At 48.5% G+C, this 20,613-nt stretch overlaps 1 protein-coding gene across 4 annotated transcripts in view; it reads right to left on the reverse strand.

Annotated features, from left to right (window-relative positions):
* The window catches only part of COG4 (component of oligomeric golgi complex 4), a 42,988-nt gene continuing 22,392 nt past the window's right edge, over window positions 18–20,613 (reverse strand). Inside the window, exons 9-19 of one of the 4 annotated variants that reach the window (NR_158212.1) lie at window positions 20,409–20,542; window positions 17,388–17,506; window positions 16,672–16,838; window positions 15,717–15,830; window positions 9,781–9,843; window positions 3,304–3,420; window positions 2,180–2,272; window positions 1,543–1,626; window positions 1,215–1,316; window positions 810–938; window positions 18–595 (exon numbers count right to left, since the gene is read on the reverse strand). Coding sequence is in view for 3 of the 4 variants with exons in the window: in NM_001365426.1 (NP_001352355.1) it covers window positions 461–595; window positions 810–938; window positions 1,215–1,316; window positions 1,543–1,626; window positions 2,180–2,272; window positions 3,304–3,420; window positions 9,781–9,843; window positions 15,717–15,882; window positions 16,672–16,838; window positions 17,388–17,506; window positions 20,409–20,542 (1,309 nt within the window). In the remaining variant the exon portion in view is untranslated. Of the gene's footprint in view, window positions 596–809; window positions 939–1,214; window positions 1,317–1,542; window positions 1,627–2,179; window positions 2,273–3,303; window positions 3,421–9,780; window positions 9,844–15,716; window positions 15,883–16,671; window positions 16,839–17,387; window positions 17,507–20,408; window positions 20,543–20,613 lie in introns of all 4 variants that reach the window. The other 3 variants (NM_001365426.1, NM_015386.3, NM_001195139.2) reach the window with 3 other exon arrangements.

Below are 20,613 nucleotides of genomic sequence, written 5' to 3' on the forward strand. Positions count from 1 at the left end.
TGGTAACAGCACACTGGCATCTCTCCAAGGAGTAGCTTTATTCAGGGATCATAAACATCACAGCCTCTCCTCAAAGTCAAGCCTAACTGCTAGGTCCCCAGATGTACCCAAGTTGTCTAGGACTGGCAGGGGTAGCTTGTTTGCTGTAGTGTTTGAGGGCAAGAGACTGACCATCCATGCAGAAAGCTGGCCTGGGCTGCTCGCTGCCTGCCGTGGCTTTCCCACCTCATTAGGAGCCCGCTTCTCTCGGTGGGGAGATGCTGCCCCCAGAGCATCACCTGGCCAGGTCTGAGGGCAGAGCATGGAGTGGGTCCAGACTTTGTTTCTCTGCTGCCAGCCGTAGAAAGGTCTGGGCTGTCAGATCTCCCCCAAGCCAGACAGCCTCGCTCAGCTCCTTGGCTGGGGCCCCTTAGGGAACAGGCCTGCAAGTGTGATGAGCCAGGTGTGCTCATCCAGGCAGCTACAGGCGCAGCCTCTTGATATCTTCACTGCGGAAGTCTATCCGCAGGGCCAGCACCTGGCGCACTTCAGCAGGGGTGAGGCGCCACGTCAATGGGCCGGAATTGGGTCCCCAGTAATCGAGGATCTCGGTCACCTGTGGGGAAGGACATAGAGACCAGTCAGCAAGGTGGGGTTATTCTGAAAGAGGGCTCTGGCCTCTACCAGGGGCAGAGCAGGGGCACCCGGGAAGGGGAAGGTGTCCTATAGAGCTGGCTGCTGGCAGACATGGTTTAGAGGGAAGTGGCGGGGATCCATCTTTGCCTCTTTCAGTCACCCCTCCCTGGCTGGGCCAAGGGTGCCCCACCTACCCGCTCCAGATTGAGGATGGTGGCCATCTGGGAGAGCCGGGCAAACTTGTCTCGGATGGTCCAGGTGGTCACCGTGGTAAGGTAGGCAATGAGCGACCTCAGCTCCTTGTCAAACTGCAGACCACCCAGCTGCAGGAGAACCCAAGCCCAGTCACTACTTAGGCCTGGCCAAGCAGAACTGGCCTCCAGTTGCCCCCAGAGCTGGGTGGCAAGGCCCGCCAGGCCTCAGGTGGTGCCCTGTGGTTTGTTTGCTCTACGGCTTCAGAAGCCAGAGCAGGACTGGACCCAGACATGCAGGGCCTGTGGGCAGCAGACAGAGGGGATGCAAGTCCTGGGGGTGGTGGCATGACATGTCTTCCTCAGAGGAGAAACGAGAGCCGCAGACCCATGACCCCTTTACCTTACCCGGTTAAAGGTGGATTTCAGCACCACTTTCTCCAACTCGACGGCAACAAGGCTAGTCATGAGGCCGGTTAGGCTGTCGTAGATGACCGGGGACAGGCTGGCCTGCACACAGAGGGTTGACATCAGCCGAGCCCCACCTAACTCCTCTGCCTCTATGCTGGAGTCTTAGGTGGTGAGGATAGTAGCGTGAGGCCACGGGGGAGTTTCTACAGGTGAGGGTTGGAAGGGCTTTCAGGGTCCCCAGAAGGAATGTGATGAGACCCTGCAGGCTGCTGGTTTGGGCTGACGTGGGTAATTCCCTAAGTGGATCCCTAGGGCCCCTGCTCACCTTGAACTCTGCCATTTGCTGCTCCAGGTTAAGGATGAACTGTTGTACCCAAGGGTCGTTGGCCTCATAGTCATTGAATTCTTCCTGTTGTCAGGAAGCAGGGCTGGTCACCATGGGCCTCATAAGAAGTACCATTCATTGCCACCCACCTCTATCCCTCTAAGAAAATAATGTAAAACATTCTTCCTTCCCTGTGCCTTCTGACTCATCTAGTTTAAAACCAGCTCAGACACCCAGGCTGGCAGAAACTGACCAGCAAACAGCCCAGGGCTGTAGCAGTGGCCCACATAACATGGTAAAGTTCCTGGCATTTTATTCCTTCTTGGATCTCTTGTTCTACAGGAATGAAATCACTACGCCAGGAGGAAAAAAACGCTTCTAAGTCTATCATAGGCGGGGCAAAAAGAGCTCCAATAAGGGAATAAGTTAGGTCAAGGCAAACTCCATGTCTTTCTGAGCCCTTCTGACTAGGGACAAACTGTTTCCTGGGAGGAACCTAGTCTTCATGGGTCAGGGTGGGGGAAGTGGGCCTGGGAAGCATGGAAGGTCTAGTCTGTTCAGATGGCTCTGCTCCCTCTAGCTGGGGCTAGGGATGAGGGGTCATCGGGGCTTGATGGCTGCCTGTGGCCAGGCTAACCTCCTCGATGTTGTGGGAGACGGAGAAAAAGCTGTTGATCCAAGGCTGCACCTGTGGCTTGATGGCTGTGCTGTTGAGCTCCGTCAGCCCTTCCTGCACAAGGACAAGGTGGAGACATGTGACACAGAAGGCACGACTCATCCCTTCCCTCTCTCTTCTCCCCATCCCTTCCCTCTATCCTCTCCCCATCCCTTTCCTCTCCTCTCCCCATCCCTTCCTTCTCTCCTCTCCCCATTTCTTCCTTCTCTCCTCTCCCCACCCCTTCCCTCTCCTCTCCCTACCCCTTCCCTCTCCTCTCCCCACCCCTTCCCTCTCCTCTCCCCACTCCTTCCCTCTCTTCTCCCCACCCCATCCCTCTTTTCTCCCTACCCCATCCCTCTCTCCTCTCCCCACCACATCCCTCTCTCGTCTCCCCACCCCTTCCCTCTCTCCTCTCCCCACCCCTTCCCTCTCTCCTCTCCCCACCCCATCCCTCTCATCTCCCCACCCCTTCCCTCTCTCCTCTCCCCACCGCATCCCCTTCTCCTCTCCCCATCCCTTCCTTCTCTCCTCTCCCCACCCCATCCTCCTCTCCTCTCCCCATCCCTTCCCTCTCTCCTCTCCCCATCCCTTGACTGCAGGGCGTTCTTCCAGCCCTGAGGCTTTCTGCAGGCCCTGTTGGAGGTTATAACAGAGCTAGTGCTAATGAAAGGAGGAGCCAGGAACATGCCCCTTTCCAGATCTCAGCTGATTCAGGTCCAGGGTAACGATGAGGCCTTGAGACTGTTCTGATAAACTCTCACAAGAGATTTCAGAATGCTCAATGTTAGGCAGCACCTGCGGCTAGGTCAGAACAACCATGTGGCTCCACTTCCTCTGAGCATCTTCTGAGAGCTCTTGTCATTGTGGGGCCAAGTGCAAAGTCTAGAGCACCAGATGTTGGCTTGTCAGTGTGACAACTTCACTGCTGAGAAACCAACAGGGCCTTTAGTCTCAAGGGACCTGCACAACTCCAGGCTCCAGGGCTTGCGTGCTGCTCCCTCACCCGTCCTCCTGGCTTCCTTGCACACGATGAGCCAGCTAACAATCTTCTCAGAGCAACACACAGGCACAGGATTCAGTCAGCAGTTGAACCTGGGGCTTACCTGCAAGAGGTCTCGGAATTTGTTGGACACGGCGGCCAAGTCAGAAAGGCAGCTGTCAAACTTGGCCTGGGCCTGCTCCCCTCCAATGCCCTGGCTGAAGAGCTTGGTGCAGTCACTCTAGGGGAGAACACTGCTGTAAGACCACCGAGCACGCGTGGGCCATGGGAGTGTGAGGAGCCACCAGCCAGTTCTACTCCTCCAGCCAGCTATGGCCTGTCAAGAGCCCGGATGGGTTTCAGAAAACCTGGATTCTATCCTGGTGGTTATCCACTTGGCTCCCACTTCCCCCTCTGTAATATGGGGGTACCAATGTCGGGGAAGTGAGTAAGAAACAGAAATACCAGAAAGTTTTTCCTGTCTTTAGAGTCAGACATTCCTAGGTTCAAGTCCTGGCTCAGTCATGTATTAGTTGAGTGACCTTGGGCAAATGATTTAAAGTTTCTGAGCTTCAATTTTCCTGTCTATAAAATGGGAACACCAATTCCTGCTCCTCATGTATGAGATGAAGCACAACGTGCCTAGCTCAATGCCTGGCACAGGAGACACTAGCTATTATTGCTATAGTTCCTCCTTTCCCCCCCTTTTATATTTATTTACTTCTTCTTAAATTTTATTTAAATTTACCAAAAAACCACAAAAGTCAGTTTCTGCTTCTTAAATATTTTGGTATGGCTACCAAAGGGGATGGTCAAGATCATAGCTAAGGTTTAAGGGCGTACTGTATACCTGGCTTTGTTCTAAGCATTTCACTTTTATTAAAGTACCAGGCTGGGCGAGGTGGCTCATGCGGGTAATTCTAGCACTTTGGGAGGCCAAGGTGCAAGGACCACTTGCGGCCAGAGTTTAAGAACAGCAGGGAAACATAGTGAGAAGCCGTCTCCACAGAAAATTAAAGAATTAGCTGGATGTAGTGGTGCGCCCCTGCATCCCTAGCTACTCAGGAGGCTGAGGCGAGAGGATCCCTTGAGCCCAAGGGTTCAAGGTTGCAGAGAGCTATGACTGCCACTGCACTCCAGCCCGGGCAGCAGAGTGAGAACAAAGTACCTATTCTACTTAAAAACAAAACAAAATGAAAACCAAAAAACCCCCACAACTATTGTAAGTTACTTTGACCTTCATAAAAAAAAGTATCTCCTTTATGAAATAGGTAAAATTATTATCCCCATTGTACAGATGAGAAAACTGAGGCACAGAAGTTAATAATTTATTCAAAGCCATGGCAATAAGTCAGGAAAGGCTGAGCATGGTGGCTCACTATTGTAATCCTAGGACTTTGTGAGGCCAAGGTAGGAGGATTGCTGGAGCCCAGGAGTTCAAGACCAGCCTGGGCAACAAAGTGAGACCCTGTCTCTCTTTTTTTTTTTTTTTTTTGAGACAGTCTCACTCTGTCGCCCTGGCTGGAGTGCAGTGGCATGATCTCGGCTCACTGCAACCTCCGCCTCCTGGGTTCAAGCGATTCTCGTGCCTCAGCCTCCCGAGTAGCTGGGACTACAGGCGCCTGCCACCACACCCAACTAATTTTTCTATTTTTAGTAGAGACAGGGTTTCACCATGTTGGCCAGGCTGGTCTCGAACTCCTGACCTCAGGTGATCCACCCGCCTCAGCCTCCCAAAGTGCTGGATTTACAGGTGTGAGCCATCGCGCCTGGCAGAGACCCTGTCTTTTAACATAGATAAATCATGGAGCTGGGACTCTAGGCCAGGTATTCTGACTCCAAAAATCCTGTTTTTTTTGTTTTTTTTTTTTTTTTGAGACAGAGTCTTGCTGTGTCACCCAGGCTGGAGTGCAACGACATGATCTTGGCTGACTGCAACCTCTGTCTCCCGGGTTCAAGTGACTCTCCCACCTCAGCCTCCGGAGTAGCTGGGATTACGGGCACCCACCATCATGCCCAGCTAATTATTGTATTTTTGTAGAGATGGGGTTTCACCATGTTGGCCAGGCTGGTCTTGAACTCCTGACTGCAGGTGATCTGCCCGCCTGAGCCTCCCAAAGTGCTGAGATTACAGGCGTGAACCACCGTGTACGGCCCAGAATGCCTGTCTTTTTTTTTTTCTTTTGAGACGGAGTCTTGCTCTATAACCCAGGCTGGAGTGCAGTGGCTTGATCTCGGTTCACTGCAAGCTCCGCCTCCTGGGTTCACGCCATTCTCCTGCCTCAGTCTCCCAAGTAGCTGGGACTACAGGCGCCCACCACCACGCTCTGCTAATTTTTTGTATTTTTAGTAGAGATGGGGTTTCACCGTGTTAGCCAGGATGGTCTCGATCTCCTGACCTTGTGATCCGCCCGCCTTGGCCTCCCAAAGTGCTAGGATTACAGGCGTGAGCCACCGCGCCCAGCCCAGAATGCCTGTTTCTAATCACCACACTACAGCGTAGGTGTAGAGACCTCTCCAGGGGGAACTGCCTGAAACTCATGTTTTGGGTTGCCAGGAGCTGCCGCATTGCTCGTAGCCTTCTTAGAAAGTTCATGCTGTTTTGGCTCCAGAGGGGAAGCAGAGTGGAAGAACTAAGAGGGACTCTCCTAGCAGACAAAGGCCCTTCACTCCCACAGTATTCCTGACACTTACTGTCTTTGAGTAGTCTTGTAACCTTCCCTGTAAGCTGAACGTCATGCCACCTGATCTGCCTATCTCAAAGGGCTGCTGATGGGGCTAAGAAAGAACATCTGTGAAATGCAAATCTAAGGGCAGCTGGGATTTACGGGAATAGGTTTTTCAGCTATTTTACTTGGCTAATTCTACCAGCTCACTTATGAATTTCTAATATTTCCCCAAATTTTACTTCCAAAACCCAACAGACTCATGTTAAGGATGAGGTCAGAAATAGTCTAAAGTGCCATGACTTACAAACAATGATGTCGGCCGGGCGCCGTGGCTCACGCCTGTAATCCCAGCACTTTGGGAGGCCGAGGCGGGCAGATCACGAGGTGAAGAGATCAAGACCATCCTGGCCAAAATGGTGAAACCCTGTCTCTACTAAAAAATACAAAAATTAGCTAGGTGTGGTGGCGCACACCTGTAGTCTCAGCTACTTGGGAGCTGAGGCAGGAGAATCGCTTGAATCCGGGAGGTGGAGGTTGCAGTAAGCCGAGACTGCGCCACTGCACTCCAGCCTGGGCAACAAGAGCGAAACTTCATCTCAAAAAAAAAAAAAAGTCAGGCATGGTGGCTCACACCTGTAATCCCAGCACTATGGGAGGCTGAGGTGGGCGGATCGCCTGAGGTCGGGAATTTGAGACCAGCCTAGACAGCATGGTGAAACCTCGTTTCTACTAAAAATACAAAAATCAGCTGGGCATGGTGTCAGGTGCCTGTAATCCCAGCAACTTAGGAAGCTGAGGCAGGAGAATCGCAGAGGTTGCAGTGAGCCAAGATCATGCCACTGCACTACAGCCTGGGCAACAGAGTGAGAATCGGTCTCAAAAAATAAAAAAATAAAAATAAAAAAAAAAAAAGACAAGGCCAGGCGAGGTGGTTCATGCCTGTAATCCCAGCACTTCGGGATGCCAAGGCGGGTGGATCACTTGAGGCCAGGAGTTCGAGACCAGCCTGGCCAACATGGCAAAACCCCATCCCTACTAAAAATACAAAAATTAGCTGGGCGTGGTGGCAGGTGCTTATAATCCCAGCTACTCCAGAGCCTGAGGCAGGAGAATCACAGAAGTTGCAGTGAGCTGAGATCGCGCCATTGCACTCTAGCCTGGGCGACAGAGCGAGACTCCGTCTCAAAAAAAAACCAACAATGATGACAGCCAACTTGTTGAACACATACGATGTGACAGATACTATGTTATGTTGTACAAGTGTTCACTGTGGAGGCAGGGCCCTGGCCTCACTTCTTTCCCAGAGGCTGAGTTTGGGAGTGGGGAAGAACTGGGCCCCCCTCATTTTCCAATAGTTCACAAAGTGATCCCTCCATGCTGTTATTTTTATTTTGTTAATTTTAAATTTATTTTTACTATTTTTACTTTTTTTTTTATGTTTTTTTGAGACGGAGTCTTACTCTGTTGCCTAGGCTGGAGTGCAGGTGCACGATCTCGGCTTGCTGCAACCTCTGCCTCCCAGGTTCAAGCGATTCTCCTGTCTCAGCTTCCTGAGTAGCCAGGATTACAGGTGTGCACCACCACAACCGGCTAATTTTTGTATTTTTAGTAGAGATGGGGTTTCACTATGTTTGCCAGGCTGGTCTCAAACTCCTGACCTCAGGTAATCCTCCCGCCTTGGCATCCCAAAGTGCTGGGGTTATAGGTGTGAGCCACCACACCTGGCTATTATTTTTACCTTTTTTTTTTCTTTTGAGATGGAGTCTTTCTCTGTTGCCCAGGCTAGAGTGAAGTGGCGTGATCTCGACTCACTGCAACCTCCGCCTCCTGGGTTCAAGCAATTCTCCTGCCTCAGCCTCCTGAGTAGCTGGTATTACAGGCGCCCGCCACCATGCCCAGCTAATTTTTGTATTTTTAGTAGAGACAGGACTTCACCATCTTGGCCAGGCTTGAATGCCTGATCTTGTGATCCACCTGCCTTGGCCTCCCAAAGTGCTGGGATTATAGGCGTGAGCCACTGCGCCCAGCCTATTATTGCTTTTTAAGTGATGGGGTCTCATTATGTTGCCCAGGCTGGCCTCGAACTCCTGGCCTCAAGCAATCCTCCTGACTCAGGGTCCCAAGTAGCTGAGACTACAGGCACGAGCCACCCAGCTATTGTTATTTTGAGATGGAGTTTCGCTCTTGTTGCCCAGGCTGGAGTGCAGTGACGCAATCTCGGCTCACTGCAACCTCCACCTCCGGGGTTCAAACAATTCTCCTGCCTCAGCCTCCCGAGTAGCTGGGATTATGGGCACATGCCACCACACCCAGCTAATTTTTTTTGTATTTTTAGTAGAGACAGGGTTTCATCATGTTGGCCAGACCGGTCTCGAATTCCTGACCTCAGGTGATCCACCTGCCTCGGCCTCCCAAAGTGCTGGGATTATAGGCATGAGCCACCACACCCGGCCCAGCTACTGTTATTTTTAACTGTTAATACAACTAATAAGTACCACTGCATGCCTCTCATGTACTAAGTGGTTCATATTACCACATTCCTCTCATAACAGTCATGTGGCACAGAGGTCATTATCCCTGCTTTATGAATGACAAGACTGAGGTTACAGAACTTTTGCCTAAGGTCACACAGCTGGGCAGTGGTCAAGTGAAGATTTGAACTTGGGGTATCTGGCTTCAAAGCCCAAGCAATTTCCACTATACTCTGCTTCCTTCCTCTAAAAATAACAGCTACTAGCTTTGTATAGGATTAGGCAAACCTTATCTTAATCTCCTACATTTATACAGGGATTTGTCATTTTTATAAGGTGCTTTTGATCCTGATTTTTTTTTTTTTTTTGAGACAGAATCTCCCTCTGTCGCCCAGGCTGGAGTGCAGTGGCGTGATCTCGGCTCACTGCAACCTCTGCCTCCCAGGTTCAAGCAGTTCTCTGCCTCAGCCTCCCGAGTAGCTGGGATTACAGGCGCCTGCCACCATGGCTGGCTCATTTTTTGTATTTTTAGTAGAGATGGGGTTTCACCATCTTGGCCAGGCTGGTCTTGAAGTCCTGACCTCATGATCCACCCGCCTCAGCCTCCCAAAGTGTTAGGATTACAGGCATGAGCCACCTCACCTGGCCTTGATCCTGATTTAAAAAAAAAAAAAGTTTTTTTTTTTTTTGTAGAGATGAGGTCTCACCACATTGCCCAGGCTGGTCTCAAACTCCTGGCCTCAAGTAATCCTCCTGCCTTGGCCTCCCAAAATGTTAAGCTTACAGGTATGAGCCACTTGGCCTCAATCCTGTTTTTTCATTAGGCTACCCAAGAAACACAAGCTAGGGCTGGATGGAGCTATGCATCTCATTTCGTAGATGAGAGGACTGAGGCTCAGAGGGCTAAGGGACTTGTCCAAGGTCACACGCCAACTATGTGCTGGAAGATCTAATTTGTGTGTTATTTTGAGATAGAGTCTGCTCTGTCGCCCAGGCTGGAGTGCAGTGGCACGATCTCAGCTCACTGCAACCTCTGCCTCCCGGGTTCAAGTGATTCTCCTGCCTCAGTTTCCCAAGCAGCTGGGATTACAGGTGTCTGCCACCATGCCCAGCTAATTTTTGTATTTTTAGTAGAGATGGGGTTTCGCCATGTTGGCTAGGCTGGTCTCGAACTCCTGACCTCAAGTGATCCACCCGCCTTGGCCTCCGAAAGTGCTGGGATTACAGGAATGTGCCACCGTGCCTTGCCTGGAAGATCTAATTTGAATTCTGATCTTCCAACTCCTGAGCTTTTCTCCCTGGTCCAAGGATGCCTTGCTATCATGTCAGTCACCAAAGAATCCCCTCAAGTGTGGCTCAATGTCACCAAGATAAGTGTCTTCACCATGATGTTTGTATAGGGCTCTATCTCAACATGGGAAAAGATGGCTGCTGACCACTGATAGGCAATTTCCCTCGTACCTCCAGTGTCTTCTTCAGAGTGGAGATGTTTTCACTGCAGACTTCCACGTTGTTCAGAGTCACCTGGGAGATGAGGAAGGAAGAACGTGACTTCCTGCTGACTGTGCCTGCCACCCACTCCAATGCCAGACTGGCTGACAGCTGTGCTCCATGAAGCTCAGAGAAGGGCTGGCTGGAGTTCAGACTTGCGCTAATGAAAACCCACACTGCTACATCTGAGCAGGACGCTCAGATCTTGGATTGGGCAGAATGGGGAAGCAGGCTCGCCCTTTCTTCTGTGCCTGATGACAGGGAGCCTAAAGCTATCAGGACCTCAGAGGTAGTGAGCTCAGGTTTCAGGTCTTCTTTTTTTGTTTGTTTTTTTGTTTTTTTGAGATGGAGTCTGGCTCTGTCACCCAGGCTGGACTGCAAGCTCTGCCTCCCGGGTTCATGCCATTCTCCTGCCTCAGCCACCCGAGTAGCTGGGACAACAGGCGCCCGCCACTACGCCAGGCTAATTTTTTGTATTTTTAGTAGAGACGGGGTTTCACCATGTTAGCCAGGATGGTCTTGATCTCCTGACCTCATGATCTGCCCACCTCGGCCTCCCAAAGTGCTGGGATTACAGGCGTGAGCCACTGCGCCCGGCGAGGTTTCAGGTCTTCTTGTACTGTGTTACCTACAGAGCAGAAATGACTCAGGCATACAGGTCCAGGATAAGTTCTGAGGCTCCAAACGGTCAAGCCCCAGGTCAGTGATACAAAGCCTGACATTCATTAAAGAAAAGCTTCCAGAGAGCCTGCCACCTATGAGGTATTTTCTCATTCTTTATCTCATGGAGTCTGCTAAATACCCCCATAGAACACGTATTATCAAGCCCAGTGCACGGGAGGAAATGAGACTCCTCAGAAGGTAAAATGATTTGGCCAGGCACGGTGGCTCACGCCTGTAATCCCAGCACTTTGGAAGGCCAAGGCGGGTGGATCACCTGAGGTCAGGAGTTCAAGAACAGCCTGGCCAACATGGTGAAACCCTGTCTCTAATAAAAATACACACAAAAAAATTAGCCAGGCGTGGTGGTGCACATCTGTAGACCCAGCTACCAGGAGGCTGAGGCAGGAGAATCGCTTGAACCTGGGAGATGAGAGGTTGCAGTGAGCTGAAATTGTGTCACTGCACTCCAGCCTGTATGACAGAGCAAGACTCTGTCTCAAAAAAAAAAAAAAAAAAAAAAGCTGGGGCAGGGTAGCTCATGCCTGTAATCCCAGCACTTTGGGAGGCCGAAGCAGGTGGATCAAGAGGTCAGGAGTTTGAGACCAGCCTGCCCAACATGGCGAAACCCCGTCTCTACTAAAAATACAAAAAATTAGCCAGGCGTGGTGGCGGGTGCCTGTAATCCCAGCTACTCGGGAGGCTGAGGCAGGAGAATTGCTTGAACTTGGGAGGCGTAGGTTGCAGTGAGCTGAGATCACGCCACTGCACTCTAGCCTCGGTGACAAGAACAAAACTACGTCTCAAAAAAAAAAAAAAAAAAAAAAAGTAAAATGATTCACGAAGGTCTGACAGCAACTGATTCAGCAAATATTTACTGAGCACCTGGATGTGCCAGGCACAGTTCTAGGCACTGAGAGAAAGCAATTAACAAAAAAGACATGGTCCACTCCTCACAGAGCTGACATTCCAGAAGGGAAGCCAGATAGTAAACAAATGCATTATATAATGCCAGGAAGAATAATAAAGCAGGAAAAGGGACAGACACTCAGAGTGACAAGGCCACAAAGCTGGAGCCAGGCTTAGAATTCGGGTCTCTGAGCTTCCAGATGGATAAACAGGTGGAGGTTCCTGGACAGTGGCCACCTGGGGAGGGCATGGAAGCTCCATACCCCTTCCCCCATAATTTGCCCTATTCATCTCTTCATCTGTATCCTATATAATATCCTTTATAATAAACAAATAAACTAAAAAAATGAATTCAGGTCTCCCTACTCTGGTCCAAAGATGACTTTTTTCATAACACGACTGTCTTACAGACTAGGTGCAGAAATACCAATGATAAAAGTAGCATGGAGGCCAGGCGCAGTGGCTCATGCCTGTAATCACAGCAGTTTGGGAGGCCGATGCGGGCAGATCACCTGAGGTTGGGAGTTCGGGACTAGCCTGACCAACATGGAGAAACCCCGTCTCTACTAAAAAAAATACAAAATTAGCCGGGCGTGGTGGTGCATGCCTGTAATCCCAGCTACTTGGGAGGCTGAGACAGAAGAATCACTTGAACCCAGCGGGCAGAGGTTGCAGTGAGCCAAGATCGCGCCATTGCACTCCAGCCTGTGCAACAACAGCAAAACTCCGTCTCAAAAAAAAAAAAAAAGGTAGCATGGGCACGGTGGCTCACACCTGTAATCCCAGCACTTTGGGAGGCTGAGACGGGTGGATCACCTGAGGTCAGGAGTTCGAGACCATCCTGGCCAACATGGCAAAACCCCGTCTCTACTAAAAATACAAAAATTAGTCGGGTGTGGTGGCAGGTGCCTGTAATCCCAGCTACTTGGGGGGCTGAGGCAGGAGAATCGCTTGAACCTATGAGGCGGAGGTTGCAGTGAGCCAAGATCGCGCCATTGCACCCCAGCTGGGGCAACAAGAACGAAACTCCATCTCCAAAAAAAAAAGTAGCATGGGGCAAAATTATTAAGGCACTAATTGCTCTGGCCATTCAGAGGAAAGAACAAACTGTTTCGGTGTAAGGCATTCAAGGAAGGTTCCATGACAGGGTTGGTAGCTGAGCTGAACATAAAAGGGTAGAACATAATTCTGACAGGAGATGAAGGTGAGAACATTTCTCCACCCCCAGCAGCCTCTCTCCAGCTCACTGTCCTATTTGATATTTTCTTAATGGTCCTTAGGATTTCCTGACATTCTCTGGTTTATCTATTTCTTGTCTGCATGGATCTAGCCTGTTTTCTTCACCACTGCGTCTCTATACAGCACTGTCTACCTTTCTGCTTGATGGAAATATTCTAACTGCACTGTCTGGTATGGTAGCCCTCAGCCATGTGTGGCTATTGAGCACCTGAAGCATAGCTAGTACAACTCAGGAAGTGGATTTTTAATTTAAATGTAAATTTCAATAGCCACCTGTGGCTGGTGACTACCATGTTGGGCAGTGTAGCTCTAGAACCCAGAACAGTGCCTGATATTTAGAAGTTTCTCAATAAATATTTGTGCAATGAGTAAGAGAGTGAATGAACATATTCTGGAAAGGGGATAATATAAGCAAGTGCAGAATGGCACAAAACCCAAAAAGGTATTTGAGAAATAGCAGAGTCAGTTCACAGACACGTGCAGGGAAGTGGCAGGAGGTAGAGCTGCGAGGGGCAGAGACTGACGGGGACTTGGGTGCTCTGCTGCAGAGTTAGCCCTGTGACCTGTGGACAGTGGGCTGGCACTGAGGATTTTTAAAGCAGGTGAATGCCACATGAGCACAGCTGTGGTTCAGGAATACTCATCTAGAGGCCGTGGGAGGGAGGAAATAGAGGGCCTGGGGATCCCACTGCCTGTAAACTGGTCTGCTGGTGGCATGATGAGGAAGGCAGGGGTGAGGTAAGGAGGAGCCAGTCTTCGAGACATGAGTCAGGAGCTTCAGGATTTCAGGGTAAAAGGAGGATCTCAGAACCCCAGGGGCTGTGATTAGGAAGTCCCTCTCATCTTGCCCAGAGTGCTTCCCTTGTCGGTGTCCTGCAGCCAGTGCTGAAAGTCATGATGCTGACAGTGCTGCTTAGGCCACTCTGATTGTGGACAGATAAGCCTAAAGGTCTTTCTTTAATATGCCACAACATGAGGCCTCTAATGTCACAAGTTTCCAAATAACTGTCCTGTCCTGACAGCTGAAGGATGAAGGCCATAAGTGTTTCCAAGGCATTTAAGAGCACCAAGAATAACTGTCATGAGGACTTCTGGATTTGAGTTCAAATGGTATTGATTTCAAAGTTTCCCCTGTACTGACAGCCCTAGTAAGCGTGGATTCACTGGGTTTATTCCCTGCCCACAGTGCATGATGTCAGTAAATTTGGAGAATTCATCTAGACAGCCAAATGAATCAAGGTGACATAAAAAATAGGCCCTGCAATGGGAGTGATGACATTTTAAATACTTGGTGTCAGGAAAACCAGAAACCTGTCACCAAGCATTTAGCATCGCCTCTCTTTTTGGTCTTATCTTCTGGGGCCTCAAACAATGAAACTGTGTTAATGGGAGGTCCTCACAGAGCGAATATGCACTGGCCGGTTTTGGAGACATGTAGTCAAGTGGTGGAAAACGGAACTGGAAAGGTGGTATGGGTTAGAGTTAGGAGGCTTAAACAAAGACATCTAGCTTTGATGTGGTAGGCAGCAAGCAGCCAATGATTATTTCTGAGCACAGAAATGAAAGTAAGTTCTGTAAAAAAAATCACAAACAAAATAAAAATTTAAGTTGGTTCATGATGTGATGCTGGTTGCTGGGCATTTTGGCAAAGTTCTCCAAAGGTAACAACTTTCACAGGCAACAGTTTTTTGGATCTGATCTTTTTTTGGCAGCAACCATGATATCCTAGATTGACAGAAACCATACACAGGGCAAATATTTTCTATGACAGGAAGAGAGTGGGGCTGCCTAAACAGCTTTCACATTGGATCTGTCTCATAACTAGTTACTATGGGTTCCTCTGCACAGGGCTTGGTAGATATTAGCAAGTTTAGGCTTCTCTCTCTGCAAGTAACAGCTCTGAACTCTTTTGGGGGTCACAGATCCTTTTAAGAATATGATAACCAGGCACGGTAGCTCATGCCTGTAATCCCAACACTTTGGGAGGCCAAGACGGGTGGATCACTTGAGGTCAGAAGTTCGAGACCAGCCTGGCCAACATGGCAAAACCCAGTCTTTACTAAAAAAAAAAAAAAAAAAATTAGCCAGGTATGGTGGCGCATGCCTGTAATCCCAGCTACTCGGGAGGCTAAAGCAGGAGAATCGCTTGAACCTGTGAGGCGGAGGTTGCAGTGAGCCAAGGTCATGCCATTGCACTCCAGCCTGGGGAACAAGAGCAAGACTCCATCTCAAAAAAAAAAAAAAAAGAATCTGATAAAAGCTAAGGAAGGACCCTGTGACCCAAAAATGCATGTGAACATTTTTGCGTCCAACCCCACTTGTGGGCTACAGATGCTACTAGATGTTTCTTTCAGGCTCTGAGCCTCAGGAGTCAAGACTCAGGGTGCGGCCAATGTGGGGGATGGAGCAGAATGGACCTCGGACTGTGCTACTCCCATGCGTGCTAAGACAGCGTGTGCCAGAGAGGCCTGATCTTGAGCTTAGGATTCATCTGTGGTCTTTCTGGCTCATCACAAACTGGTTGTTGCTTTGTACAAATCCTTTCATCCTTCTGTGCTCCTCCTTTCCAAGCTGTCACACAATGGAAGGCTTGCTGCTTTATCACATCTGTCATTCTGGGTAGCAAAGGGCTTTAATAAAGCCTCCTTTCCAGAGGAAGTTGAAAGCCTAAGACATGTACTAGCAGAGCAGTGATGGCAGGCCCGAAGGACTGGCGCCTGCCCATGCTGCGGGCCTCTCCTCAGAGAAGCAGTCTGGTGGTCTGGCACAGATGGTAGAGCTGGTTCTGTGGCAGATGCAAGCCAAGCTTGGCACTCAGTGGGCTCCTGAGCAGCTGGCCAGTGCTCTGGGGAATGAATTCTAGGTGACAGCTGGACAGCCCAGCCTCTATCGTGGCTCAGGTGACTCAGAATATGTCCCTGAGTAAGAAATAGTTTCAGAACCTTCTGGGAGGAAATTCCCTTAAAGGAGGAATTTTCCTTCTATATAGACACTGGAGGAAAAGTCTCTAGCTAGAGGCCAATTATACTGTGGCTTAGCAGTGATAGCGTAACCTCTCGAGATAAACCAACCCAGCTCGTGAGCTGTGGGGTACCTACCAGGAAGGACATCTTCGCCTCGTCAGTACTCTCGATGCCTTTTGTGTCAAATTTGCCTTGCTGGAGGCTGCTGTGCATGATGTTCACGGCACTTGTCACCCCGCGCTGGATGTCCTGGAAGGTGGTGGCAGGAAAGCCCATCCGCAGCTTATTACACAGAACATCCCTGGGGGGCAGGATTGCATAGAGGAATTGACAGTGCTCAACTTGGCCACCAGGACAGAAGGGCCAGTCTTCACCACTCTGACCCAGCAGCACAAGGTGCTCTTTTAGGGGGAATAACCAGTCCTTAAGACCACTGTAGGAGACCTGAGGAGCCAGGGTATGAAAGTAACCAGCACCCCGTCAAGGACACTGATGTGACAAGAACATACAGGGGAGACTGGCCAATCTCTACTGTTCATGAGGCTTTTAGCCATCACCACTGCACTCCCAACAAAGCTGTGCGGCTTAGTGAACGCAGTACCATGTAGGAGTTGAGAACAGGTTTTGAGTCACTCAGTTCTGGATTCCACCACTGACTCCTAAGTGGTGGATCTTTGACGAGGACGGAATCTCCCTAAAGCACAGTTTCTTCATCTATAAAACAGAGCTAACAGTTCCTACTTCATAGGGTTGTTATTAGGACCTCAAAAGCGCAGGAGATTAGCATAGTGCTGGGCCTGTAGCAATGGTACCTATTGGTGGTATTATTCATCTGAACTGCCTGTTCTCTTTCCTACGTCTAAGGGCCCATAGCTCCTTCAGTCTAGTCCAGGGAACAGAAATTTGGCCCATGAGATATATGGCTGACCAACAGCTTCCTGGAGCCAAGGATACTATCTTAGGGATAGGAGCTGATGTCCTGTATAGAACTTAACTAGAATCATGAGGACAAAGGGCAGAAACAAATGGGCCTCAGGAATCAACAGGAAGGGCCTTTCTGCCTAGAAAGGAGAAAGGGAGTCAACTGTACCTGAAGTCAGACTCCAGCTCTGTGGTGGCGAGGTTGATCATGGCACAGAGACAGTCAATGCTGGAGCTGGACAGAGCCCGCCCAATGCACTTCTTAACAATGTAGAAGACATCATCCACCATGCTGGATGTCAGCTGGCCCTTCTCATAGGTGTCCAGAGCCACAGCCTACCCAAAAGGCAAAGCCAACACTGAGGGTCCCAGTTGTGCATGTCATGTTCTAGATGATTCTGGGTACACTGGCCCTAGCTCTGCTCCCTTTTCTGTACCTTGTCCATGTTTCTCCCAACATGGCGTGCATCCTCCTTGTCAAAATAGCTTACTTCCCTATTGATCACTAGGTGAACAAATTAAATATTTCGGGCCTTAGCCCTGCAGAGATCCATTACCTGGGGAGTGTAAGATATCTGCAGGGGCCCTACTTCCCTGAGGCTCCTTACCCACAAACCTTCAGGGAGGTAGGGAACAAGTGGGCTCCCTGAAGAGCTGAGCTGAGCTGTTCTTTTTTAATTCTTGGGAAGGAAGTCCTAGCTGGGTATACAAAGAACACAACGACTCCAAAGATGCTCTCTAAACATACAAAGTGGTACCACTCAATCTGCATGCAAGAGTATTCTCAAAGCAGGACCAATAAATATGACATGCCTCAGCCATTTCCCTCAGCCTGGCTTCTTGGACCGGAAGCCCCATTTCCAAGAGATGCGTCCTATGTCCTACCTTATTGACAGTCTCCCTCATGAAGTACTCCTCCATGGTAACATATAAGCCAATTAGCTCCTGCATGGTACAGCTCAAAAGGCAGTTATTGAGGAGTTTGTCCAGACACTTCTGGTGCTCTAGGGGACAGCCAAGAAAGGAATACTCATTTTTTTTCCCCAAGGGAAACAGAGCAACTTTTTTCATTTTTTCAGGTTCCTTTATAGTCTTTCTTTGAAATATGTACATATTTTACATCGTTACAATCATGATACAGATAGCAATTTTGAATTCTGTTTTAAAAAAGTATATCATAAATATTTTCCATGTTTTCACCTACCTTATTTTTCATGACTATGTGGCATTTCATCAGGTGCATAATCCACATTTTAAAAACTACTTTTTTTATTTTTAACTATTTTTTTTTTTTGAGACGGAGTTTCACTCTTGTTGCCCAGGCTGGAGTGCAATGGCGTGATCTTGGCTCACCGCAACCCCTGCCTCCCAGGTTCAAACAATTCTCCTGCCTCAGCCTCCCGAGTAGCTGGGATTACAGGCATGCACCACCACGCCCGGCAAATTTTGTATTTTTAGTAGAGACAGGGTTTCTCCATGTTGAGGTTGGTCTTGAACTCCTGACCTTAGGTGATCCGCCTGCCTCAGCCTCCCAAATTGCTGGGATTACAGGCGTGAGCCACCATGCCCGGCCTTATTTTTAACTTTCATGTTGTTTCATGTGAAATTGAGAAAATAACCACTCTATTTTTAGACACCTGGTTATTTCCAAATGTTTTGCCATTACTGGAGATAACAGAATATCACAATAATTGGAGATTATAGTGAATACTTTTGTATGAAAAACTTTTTACTCCTTTTCCATTATTCCCTTAGGATTAATTAATAGGAGTCAAAAGATGTAAGTTTCCATGGCAAAGATAAAAATATATTGGATATAGAATATTTCATTCTCTACACCAGTACTGTCCAGTAGAATTTCTGTGATAATGAAAATATTCTGGTCAGGTGTGGTGGCTCACACCTGTAATCCCAGCACTTTGGGAGGCCAAGGCGCGAGGATCGCTTGGGTCCAGGAGTTTTGAGACCAGCCTGGGCAACACAGCAATACTCTGTCTCTACAAAAAATAAACAAACAACAAGAAAAGAGAAAATATTCCGTATCTGTTATCTGATATAGTAGCCATTAGCCATGTTAGCGATTGAGCACTTGAAATGTGATGAACATAACTTAGGAACTGAATATTTTTTTTTTTATTAAATTTTTTTTTCTCAGAATCCAGCTGAGAAAGATGAATTTAAAATTTTATTTAATTGTAATTAAATTTGAATTTGAATTTGAATTCATGAATGGCTACGTATTGGGCAGCACAGCTCTGAATAGTGATAGTCATCATTATTGCTTTTCAGTCTTTTGGCTAAGATCAAGTGATAGTCATCACTGACATTGACAAGCGAACTCCAAATGAGCACACAATTTCCTTTATACACTGATTCTGTAATGCCCCTGCCACATATTATTGGCACAAGCCATGCAGAATGCCACAGATGCTGGGTGGGTCTCAAGTCCCAGCCCAAAGAACCCTGCATATATTTGCCCAGCAGGATTTTTATTTTTTTAAATTTTTTTCCTTTAATTCTTACTTTAGTAGCCAGCAGGAATTAAATGGTCATCTTAAAAACCTAGCGAGTCAATCTGTAAATGAAATTGGACTCTGGCATGCCTTTTAAACAATTTATTTATTTTTGAGACAGAGTCTCGCTTGTCGCCCAGGCTGGAGTGCAGTGGCGCGATCTTGGCTCACTGCAAGCTCCGCCTCCCGGGTTCACGCCATTCTCCTGCCTCAGCCTCCAGAGTAGCTGGGACTGCAGACACCCGCCACCACGCCCGGCTAATTTTTTTGTATTTTTAGTAGAGACGGAGTTTCACCACGTTAGCCAGGACGGTCTTGATCTCCTGACCTTGTGATCCGCCTGCCTCGGCCTCCCAAAGTGCTGGGATTACAGGCGTGAGCCACCGCGCCCGACCTAAAAATTTTTTTAAATGTTTATCTTTTATTATTTAATTTAATTTAATTTAATTTTTTAGAGATGGGGTTTCACTATGTTGACCAGGCTGGTCTCAAACTCCTGGGCTCAAGCATCCTTCCTCCTCGGCCTCCCAAAGTTTTGGGATTATGCGTGAGCCACCATACCCAGTCAAAATTTTTATCTTTTAATATAGTGACAGGGTCTTGTCATGTTGCCCAGACTGGTCTTGAACTCTTGAGCTCAAGCGATTCTCCTGCCTCAGCCTCCCAAAGTGTTGGGATTACAGGTGTGAGCCACTGCACCCAGCCCCCTTTCTTATCAATGTCAATTATTCCTTGAAAAATTGTGACTGGGGGAACTGGGAGACTGAGAGGGATGAGAGGATTCCTGTACATTATATACTCTTTTTTTTTTTTTTTTTTTTTGAGACAGAGTCTGGCTCTGTCACCCAGGCTGGAGTGCAGTGGCGTGATCTTGGCCCTATGCCCCCCAGGGTTCAAGCAATTCTCCCGTCTCAACCTCCCGAGTAGCTGGGACTGCAGGTGTATTGCACCACGCTCAGCTAATTTTTGTATTTTTAATAGAGATGGGGTTTCACCATATTGGTCAGGCTGGTCTCGAACTCCTGACCTCCGGTAATCCACCCGCCTCAGTCTCCCAAAGTGCTGGGATTACAGATGTGAGCCACCGTACCTGGCCTATGTACTCTTTAAAAACAAAAAAAGAACACTTCATTGAAGTATAATTTATATCCCATAAAATTTAAAACAGGGCACCAGTGTCCTCATCTGTAAAGTGATTAGATGGCCTCAAAGATCTAGTCCAATTCTAAAATCCAGTAAATTTAGATTTCTTCCTGGGAGTCAATTTGCCTACAGACCACCAGGGGCTAATAAGTTCCAATTGTTTCCTTAATAAGAGATTTGTGGCTTAACTATTAAGAAACACTGCCAATTATACCTCAACCCTCCCCAAAAATATGGGAAACGTTTTTACCTTGCTTTACTTCCTCTGAGGCCATGGAGTCTCCCACCTCAAAATCAGAGCTAATCCTCTTCTTGAGGAAGCGTAAGTATAGCTCACTGCGGGCATTCATCAGGGTGACCTCAGTCAGGATGGGGTCCAGTTCTCTGAGACACATGGAGCAGAAGGAATAGGACGACAATGGATTACCTTAGACACAAGAGCTACAGGGCAAAGA

The sequence above is a fragment of the Homo sapiens genome, chromosome 16, assembly GCF_000001405.40.
Source record: "Homo sapiens chromosome 16, GRCh38.p14 Primary Assembly".
Classification (NCBI taxonomy): domain Eukaryota; kingdom Metazoa; phylum Chordata; class Mammalia; order Primates; family Hominidae; genus Homo; species Homo sapiens.